The following is a 10307-nucleotide window of genomic DNA, read 5'->3' as shown; positions in this document are numbered from 1 at the left end:
TATTGAGCTCAACTACTCATCAGGAATTCTGTTGGTCTGGCAGGAGATAAACCTGGATGATTACCAGAAGCAGCTGTGGGCCAGATGGGACTGGCAATGCTTGCTGCAGCCTAATTCCCAAGAACTTCAGTGCTCAAGAAGAAAGGCATATGCTTTGTCCCCCTGCTGCCTCCACCCCAGACCAAGCTAATTCCACCCTTCATTCCCTTCTCTGTTCTCTGTCTTCTCCTCCCACTCAAACTTCACTCAGCATCAGCGCCAACTTAAGAGTTCCTTTGCAGCTTTCTCTGGCAACTCTGTTCTGCACTCTCAAATCTATTTCACCTGTTAGATTTTTTTCAAAATAGCATCAAAAAGTGAGTGTATTTAATCATACTCAGCTCATAATAGAGAAAATTGGTGAATAGATTAATAATTCATGCTCCAGCATTAACTGGCAACAGAGAAAGTTGGTCACAGGAAGGCAGAAGAACCTCATTTTCTTTCTTTTTTTTATTATTATTATACTTTAAGTTTTAGGGTACATGTGCACGATGTGCAGGTTAGTTACATATGTATACATGTGCCATGCTGGTGTCCTGCACCCATAAACTCGTCATTTAGCATTAGGTATATCTCCTAATGCTATCCTTCCCCCCTCCCCCCACCCCACAACAGTCCCCAGAGTGTGATGTTGCCCTTCCTGTGTCCATGTGTTCTCATTGTTCAATTCCTATCTATGAGTGAGAACATGTGGTGTTTGGTTTTTTGTCCTTGAGATAGTTTACTGATAATGATGATTTCCAATTTCATCCATGTCCCTACAAAGGACATGAACTCATCATTTTTTATGGCTGCATAGTATTCCATGGTGTATATGTGCCACATTTTCTTAATCCAGTCTATCATTGTTGGACATTTGGGTTGGTTCCAAGTCTTTGCTATTGTGAATAGTGCCACATAAACATACGTGTGCATGTGTCTTTATAGCAGCATGATTTATAGTCCTTTGGGTATATACCCAGTCATGGGATGACTGGGTCAAATGGTATTTCTAGTTCTAGATCCCTGAGGAATCACCACACTGACTTCCACAATGGTTGAACTAGTTTACAGTCCCGCCAACAGTGTAAAAGTGTTCCTATTTCTCCACATCCTCTCCAGCACCTGTTGTTTCCTGACTTTTTCATGATTGCCATTCTAACTGGTGTGAGATGGTATCTCATTGTGGTTTTGATTTGCATTTCTCTGATGGCCAGTGATGCTGAGCATTTTTTCATGTGTTTTTTGGCTGCATAAATGTCTTCTTTTGAGAAGTGTCTGTTCATATCCTTTGCCCACTTTTTGATGGGGTTGTTTGTTTTTTTCTCATAAATTTGTTTGAGTTCATTGTAGATTCTGGATATTAGCCCTTTGTCAGATGAGTAGGTTGCGAAAATTTTCTCCCATTTTGTAGGTTGCCTGTTCACGCTGGTGGTAGTTTCTTTTGCTGTGCAGAAGCTCTTTAGTTTAATTAGATCCCATTTGTCAATTTTGGCTTTTGTTGCCATTGCTTTTGGTGTTTTAGACATGAAGTCCTTGCCCATGCCTATGTCCTGAATGGTAATGCCTAGGTTTTCTTCTAGGGTTTTTATGGTTTTAGGTCTAACATGTAAGTCTTTAATCCATCTTGAATTAATTTTTGTATAAGGTGTAAGGAAGGGATCCAGTTTCAGCTTTCTACATATGGCTAGCCAGTTTTCCCAGCACCGTTTATTAAATAGGGAATCCTTTCCCCATAGCTTGTTTTTCTCAGGTTTATCAAAGATCAGATAGTTGTAGATATGCAGTGTTATTTCTGAGGGCTCTGTTCTGTTCCATTGATCTGTATCTCTGTTTTGGTACCAGTACCATGCTGTTTTGGTTACTGTAGCCTTGTAGTATAGTTTGAAGTCAGGTAGCGTGATGCCTCCGGCTTTGTTCTTTTGGCTTAGGATTGACTTGGCGATGCGGGCTCTTTTTTGGTTCCATATGAACTTGAAAGTAGTTTTTTCCAATTCTGTGAAGAAAGTCATTGGTAGCTTGATGGGGATGGCATTGAATCTATAAATTACCTTGGGCAGTATGGCCATTTTCACGATATTGATTCTTCCTACCCATGAGCATGGAACATTCTTCCATTTGTTTGTATCCTCTTTTATTTCATTGAGCAGTGGTTTGTAGTTCTCCTTGAAGAGGTCCTTCACATCCCTTGTAAGTTGGATTCCTAGGTATTTTATTCTCTTTGAAGCAATTGTGAATGGGAGTTCACTCATGATTTGGCTCTCTGTTTGTCTGTTATTGGTGTACAAGAATGCTTGTGATTTTTGTACATTGATTTTGTATCCTGAGACTTTGCTGAAGTTGCTTATCAGCTTAAGGAGATTTTGGGCTGAGACAATGGGGTTTTCTAGATATACAATCATGTCGTCTGCAAACAGGGACAATTTGACTTCCTCTTTTCCTAATTGAATACCCTTTATTTCCTTCTCCTGCCTAATTGCCCTGGCCAGAACTTCCAACACTATGTTGAATAGGAGTGGTGAGAGAGGGCATCCCTGTCTTGTCCCAGTTTCTGTGACTGGCTTATTTCACTTAGCATAACATCCTCAAGGTTTATCCATGCTGTACCATATGACAGTATTTTCTTCTTTCTAAAAGGCTAAATACTATTCCATTATATATTTATACCATCTTTTCTTTATCCATTCATCAATTGTCAGTGGACAATTAGATTGTTTCCATCTCTTGCTTACTGTGCATAATGCCACAATGAACATGGGAGTTCAAGCATCTCTTGCTGCCTTCAAAATTTTCTCTTTGTCTTTGACTTTTGACAGTTTGATTATAATGTGTCTTAGTGTGATCTTCTTTGGGTTCATCCATGATGGACTCTGTTGGCCTTTGTGAATCTATATGTCCATTTTCTTTCTTAGATTTGGGAAGTTTTGGGCCATTATTTCTTCTACTTCTTTCTTTCTCTCTTTTCCTTCTGAGACCCTATAATGTATATATTGGTGTGCTTGCTAGTGACTCATAGTCCTTGGCTTTCTTCCCTCTTCTTCATTCATTTTTCTTTGTGTTCCTCTGATAGGATAATTTTAAATGACTTGTCTTTGAGTTCACTGATTCTTTCTCCTGCTTTCTTCTGCTTCAAATCACTCTAGTGAATTTTTAAAGTCAGTTATTTTGTTCTTCAGCTCCAAATTTTTTATGTTTGTTACTTTGTAGTGTTTTCTATCTCTTTGCTGTTTTCCTGAGCTCATGGGGCATCCTTATGAAGATCATTTTGAATTCCTTGATAATTCATATACCTGGGTTTCATTAAAGTCGGTTTCTAGAGATTTATTTTATTCCTTTGGTTAGGCCGTGTTTCCCTGTGTCTTTAGATGCCTTGTTACTTTGTGTTTGGATGCACACATTTGAAAAAAGAACTACCTCCCCCAGTATTTACTGGCTTCATACGGGGACCTTCACAAATCCGACTGGCTAGTGATTCTGGTGACTTCTCAAAGATTTTTTGGTAATGTGTCTTCTCCAGACTTATGCATGTAAATTCTTAATGACCAGTTTTCTTTTTTCTGAAGCTCATTATCTCGTCCTCCCTCTGGTGTTTGTCTGGAGTACTACAGGTTCTCTGGAGCTGCCATTGGCCACCCAGGTTTTATTCTTAGTGGCACCCTGTCAGGGTCCCAATAGCATTCTTAGTCAGGTTAGGCAGAAATTCATTACTCAGGCAGATGCTGGAGAAGCTGGAACATTGGACACATGTTCCACTCCCTCCTTTCCCCCTGAGGGGAGAAGCTGCCAAGTTGCATCAGCCTCTGTCCTCTGCACCATAGGTCCTTGGAGCAGCAGTAAGCTACTCGGCTGTTTTTTGTTCTTAGTGATTCCCAGGCATCTAAAATATGCTGCAACCCACAAGTACCCAAAACGGATGAAACAGAAGCCAGACCCGCAGGCAGCCCTCTGAAAAGCTGGAAATGTCGGATAGAGACAGCAACTCTTTTTCCTCCCCAGCAGGAAGTCAGGAGTTAGGAGTTTTCTCCCACTTGTGCTGTGCTGAACTGGGGGTAGGGGAGGATGGCAGGTGAGTTTGTTACAATTCTTACCATCACCTTTGTTCTTAGTGGGTCCCAACTTGGTGCTGTTTCTTGTCCATGCTCATATTCATGTAAGACAGAAACCAGTCCCTTGGGTAGCCCCACAAAATGTCTGAATATTAGGCCTATGTTCCAGTCTTCTCTTTCCCTCCCTCAGGAAGAAGCTGGGAGTTGAGAATTACCTCAGGATCACTCTGGGCTATGCTGGGGATATGGGCTCTGTTGAGTGAGTGCCACAAATTTTCCTGTTGGTCAATGTGACTGGTTTCATGCTTCCCCAGGGTGCAGGAGCCTCTGACCTAGTTTCTGGATTTCTCACAAAGGGGTCTGGTCCATGTGTTGTTGTTGAATCATTGTCTGTAGGGGGAAAGAATGGTTTGGAGCTTCCTATTGTGCCATATTGCTGATGTCGTCCCCCAAGGAGGAGTGTTAATGCATAAATGACTTAGAACAGTTCCTAGGATTTAATAAGCACGCAACAAATCTTAGCTACTTTTATTCTTCTGCCTTAAGAAGGCTGAATATTTTTCTTATATGCCCTATTACTTATGTTACTTTGAAAACTGTTAAAATAATGTAATGAGAATTATAGTGTTAATAAAAAAAATCCTGATATGTTGACTACAACTTCAAAAGAGAAAACAGAAGAACTAAAGTGAAACCATATTTGTTTCTTTTGAATAACTAACACACTAGTCAGTATAATTACTGGTTCTTTTAAGATTGACATGAGAAGCATTGATGGGCAGTAAGTAAACATCAGTGCTGCTTTATGACAGTTTCTGAACAGCAGAAATTTCTGTGGTCTACAACTACTGTGATCCAGAAGGAATTAGACTAACAAAACTCGTAAGACAAATAAATAATACCATTAAACCAGAACCTCTTGGCAAGCTATAAGAGAGTCAGTTTTTTTGTTTTTTTTTTTTTTTGAGATGGAGTCTCGCTCTGTCACCCAGGCTGGAGTGCAGTGGTGCAGTCTCAGCTCACTACAACCTCCACCTCACAGGTTCAAGCAATTTTCATGCCTCAGCCTCCTGAGTAGCTGGGACTACAGGTGCATGCCACCACGCCCGACTAGTTCTTGTATTTTTAGTAGAGATGGAGTTTCACCAGGTTGGCCAGGCTGGTCTTGAACTCCTGACCTCAGGTGATCCACCTGCCTTGGCCTCCCAAAGTGCTGAGATTATAGGCATGAGCCACTGTGCCCGGCCTAGAGTCAGTTCTTATTGAAGTTACTTAAAATGCCACTGGACTTCTATGGTAAGTCAGGCACTACCTGGTTTCAAATCTTTGTTTAGAAAGGCTTTGTAGATGGCAATAGTGGGCATATATAGTCATATTCCTCTGTAGATATAATATATGTCATTATAGCAATTTCTGAAGCATTGCTATGGTTAAGACACTATATCTGAACTGGAGTACTTTTGAGAGTAATAGGGGGCCAGGATAACAGGTCTAGAGCACCCCAGAACTTATAGTCACCCTATGATCACCAAGAAACATCAAATCCATTCATGGTAGAAGGAAGATGTTAAAGCCTATGAGATTGCCCCTCTCTTGGCTCTCATCTGAAGGCTTCTCCATTTTGGCCCTGTTTTCCTATGTGTCTGGACATTTATACACATCTGGCAGTGGCTGGTTGCCTAAGGCCATAGATAAGTACAGTTCTTGACTTTGGGCATGGGTTAAAAAACGATTGTAGCAGCTCTATGGAGTTAAAAATTAAATATACTTTTCTCTGAAGGGAAATAAATATTACATGAAGGATGTCTTTACCTTCAACTGTAATGAAGAATGTGTTAGCTATATTTATGTCTATATTTCTATTTATATATCTATCTGATCATCTATTTTTTCTCTTGGCCTGATATGGTTTGGCTGTGCCCCACCCAAATCTCAACTTGAATTGTATCTCCCAGAATTCTCACCTTTTGTGGGAGGGACCCAGGGGGAGGTAATTGAATCATGGGGGCTGGTCTTTCCTGTGCTATTCTCATGATAGTGAATAAGTCTCATGAGATCTGATGGGTTTATCAGGGGTTTCCACTTTGCTTCTTCCTCATTCTTCTCTTGCTGCCGCCACATAAGAGGTGCCTTTTGCCTCCCACCATGGTTCTGAGGCCTCCCCAGCCATGTGGAACTGTAAGTCCAATTGAACCTCTTTTTGTTCCCAGTTTTGGGTGTCTTTATCATCAGTGTGAAAATGAACTAATACGTGGTCCAAACATTTTAGAATTTCTTCTTGAGCCCTGCACTCTCTCACTAATTAGAAAACTATTCTTTGGTGATAATCTAAAGAGAAATCAAAAGTGAGCAACACAGTAATGGGGAAGACCATGTTAGAGGCTTTTTCCCCAAAATTTTTCTGTGATGTGACATTGATAGCACTTAATCACTTGAAAAAAAGTTCCAAAATCTCCCTGGAGCCTCTTAGGATGCTTTTATTTAAAACTAGTAGCTTCTGGAACATTTTCCATGGTTCAGCTCCCATGGGTTCCTATGTGTAGTGCAGAGCTTGAGAAATATGTCAATACTTCCCTTAAGTCAGAAATTAGTTTAGCTTCTTGAGGTCACAGACCAGATGTACTGTTGTAGTTATATGAGATTGTAACTTCTCTGCATGGTTAATGCTCCTGTTTTTAATTTTTGGAAAACAGATTCTTTGGTTGCTGCTATTCCACACCCGACATGCTGAGTCCTGCTTTTCCTTCTTCACTGTTTAAAACAGGGTGATGTTTTTCTGCATTACACAAGTGACCTTGAAATGGAGACACTGATCTCAGGGGTTTAGGTCCTGTGCATTTTCTCCTGTTAAAACCCAGAAATGTAGTCATGGAATGCATTGGCTTACTGAAAGTTCCCTGGGGCTTTTGACTATGCTGCTTTGAATTTCCTGCATTCTTTGTTTTTAAACTATGTGTGTGTGTGTGTGTGTGTGTGTGTGTGTGTGTTTTGTGCACCTTGAATATAGCATCAAGGCAAAATTTCTGGAGAGAACAATGCAAAGAATGTACTTTCTCTAGAAAAAGGAAGTCTAGATAAAATGGTCTTTCTGGGTTCCCAAATGCATGTGTTTTATATCTTTTGTTTGTTTAAAATTTTTGCTTCCTAATAGATCACCTCAAATCTTTTTATATAAAACTAGCTGCAGCAAGGGCATTAAAAAATCTCACATCTGTATGAAGTTATTTTGGGGGAAGTCAATTGAAAAGCAGAATAATAATTAAATAACCTTTGAATAACTCTTACATTCTGGGTTAATAAGAATCTGCTTTCCTCTTTGTCCAGCAGTTTGAATGTTTTGAGTCAAGTAAAGGCGACATGAAAGAGTGATTAGCATGGGTGAACTTTTGGACATGCAAAGCTCTTTTAGGTCCAGATAAGCAGTATGACAAAGTGGTGAAGAGTCCTGGCCACAGCTGGACATTTCCAAGTTTGAATTCCTAGACCTGTTCTTACTGGGGCTACCTTAGACATGCTATCTAGATTTCCTGGGTCACAGTTCTCTCATCTGTACAGATAATGATACCTAATTCACATGGTTGTTGTGAGGGTTAAATGAAATAAAAGCATAAAGCCAATTAACTGACACATTAAAATATTCAATAAGCAAAAGACATGTTTTCTCATTTATGACACCAATGAGTACAGGGGTGCAGTCTGACCTTGCAGAACTACTCAGCTCATTTTTATTCTGCTGCTTTTACTTTCCCAGTATTAGGAAAAGCAAACCTTCACACCATGATTCAAATGAAATCTCTTGAAAATGTGAGGATCATTTAAGTCACTTACCTATGTTGCTCTTTTCCAATACTTGCTCATAATGTTTATACCCTTCAAATAGTGGGGATACAGTTATAGGGCCTTTGTTAAATAAAGTACCTTCTTCCAAAAAAAACCCCACTAAACCTGCAGACAAATAGAGTTGCATAAATCAACATAATACCTATTTTTATTACCAAAGGAGCTTGCACATTTCTTCTCAGTATCTTTAAAACTCATATTAAATGTTTTGTAACATTGATTTATTAAAAGTAATATTTAATATAATTTTGTTCAACTCTGTAATGATAATGGCTAGCATAAGATGCTATGTGTTGGGCATTGTACTACGTACTCCATGAGGACTGGGGTCTCACAACTATATTCCTTGTTATATCACCCAATTAATGAGTGAGAAAATGGAATCTAAAAGAGGTCAAGTAAAACTGCCAGCAAAAGGCAGAACTGGCATCTGGAAACTTGACCTTGAAATGTTCATGGTGCTGGTAAGGCCTCTCTACCAGTCTGCCTAGATAATAAGATTTAGGATGACCACCTACCTGCTTTCAATCTGGGAGTCTAGAATTTTAGTAGTTGTGGCTATGCAGAGAGTGCCTATATGACCAGTCCCATATAAAAACCTTGAGATCTGAGTCCTACAGTGGCTTTACTGGCAGAAACATTATACATATGTTGCTGTATTTCACTGTTGGAGGGGCAGTGAGCTCTGTGTGGCCCTTTCTGGGAGAGCATAGGAAGCCTGCATGTGAATGTAACCAGACTCTGTCTGCTGTGTTCTATGCCTTGTCGATTTGGCTGTGTAGCCTTGCTGTGTTGTTGTAAAAAATATTTGCCATGAGTGCAAATCTATACTAAGGTCCATCAGTTCTTCTATGGAGGTGCCAAATGTGTGGGTGGTTGTAGAATTGCTGAAACAAGTGGTAGTCAAAGTCTGACACAGATGTGGACATGACTACTGAGAGGACAAATTATCCATCAGTTAGGAACTTTATTTACATCATCTTCCTAAAGATTGCAAATGGTATTAGTTAGTAGAGCTGACGTTACAGCCCTTTTAGGAGCCTCAGCTCCAACACCCCATGTTGGGTCATTATATGGAGTATAATACACGCTTTGTAAACTATATGCATACAGACATACAATAGTTAAAAATAGGCCAGTGTGTCCAATGCCTGTCATCTTTTTATGTGTATCCTGTGTTTTTATTGTTTTGCAGCTGAATGCCAAACATAGAAGATAATTACAAATATTCAGCTGTGTGAAAGTGAAGATAGGGCTTAAGTACAAACAGGAGACATGAATTTTTAAAATAAATGCTTAAATATGACTCGTGTTCTACAAACATCTGGAAGCTAGGTCTGCATAGCTGAACTGTCTCATCTGTGGGCCCATCATGATGATCATGATCCCTCCTCCCACACAGTAATCAATGCATGGGATCAGGATGCCAATGGCTAAACATGATCAGAATGAACCCCCTTTCTAGAGCTTTTCCTGTTCCTCTGCAGACAATTGTTTATCTTCTTAAATAAGGTTTTAGATGTTTTTATTTTTTTCTTTGAATTTCCCCCTTGCTTTTTAAGCCATATACAATATGTCTATATTATTCTTACAATAAAGAAATGTGATGTTTATAATCAGTATTATAACATTTTGAGTTTACCAGTGATATGGTTTGGCTCTGTGTCCTCACCAAAATCTCACCTTGAATCATAATCCCCACATGTCAAGGGAGGAACGTGGGGAGAGGTGATTGGATCATGGGGGCATATTTCCCCATTGCTGTTCTCATGATAAAGAGTGAGTTCTCACAAGATGGTTTTATAAGTGTTTGACAGTTCCTTCTTCACATGTTTTCTCTTGTCTGCTGCCATGTAAGATGTTCCTGCTTCCCCTTCTGCCATGATTATAAGTTTTCTGAGGCTTCCCCAGCCATGTGGAACTGTGAGTCAATTAAACCTCCTTTGTTTATAAATTACACAGTCTCAGGTAGTATCTTTATAGCATTGTGGAAATGGACTAATACAGTAAATTGGTACCACAGAGATTGGGGTGCTGCTATAAAGATAACCTGAAAATGTGGAAGCAACTTTGGAACTGGGTAACAGGCAGAGGTTGGAACAGTCTGGAGGGTCCAGAAGAAGACAGGAAGATGTGGCAAAGTTTGGAACTTCCCAGAGACTTGTTAATGGTTTTGACCAAGATGTTGATAGTGATATGGACAATGAAGTCCAGGTTGAGGTGGGTCTCAGATGAAGATAAGAAACTTCTTGGGAACTGGAGCAAAGGTCACTCTTGCTATGTTTTAGCAAAGAGACTGGTGGCATTTTGCCCCTGCTCTAGAAATCTATGAAACTTTGAACTTCAGAGAGAGATGATCTGGAATTGAAACTTATGTTTAAAAGGGAAGCAGAACATAAA

The 10307-nt window shown here is 39.8% G+C and overlaps 1 long non-coding RNA gene across 1 annotated transcript in view; it reads left to right on the top strand.

The window, feature by feature from the left end:
- The first annotated feature begins 3868 nt into the window (after window positions 1-3868).
- The window catches only part of LOC107986449 (uncharacterized), a 72898-nt gene continuing 66459 nt past the window's right edge, over window positions 3869-10307 (top strand). The window contains exon 1 of the long non-coding RNA XR_001742881.1: window positions 3869-4087. This is a non-coding gene — a long non-coding RNA (uncharacterized LOC107986449). The remainder of the gene's footprint in view (window positions 4088-10307) is intronic.

This window comes from Homo sapiens, chromosome 5 (genome assembly GCF_000001405.40).
Source record: "Homo sapiens chromosome 5, GRCh38.p14 Primary Assembly".
In the NCBI taxonomy this organism is placed as follows: Eukaryota; Metazoa; Chordata; class Mammalia; order Primates; family Hominidae; genus Homo; species Homo sapiens.
This window is presented reverse-complemented; position numbering and strand designations above follow the sequence as displayed.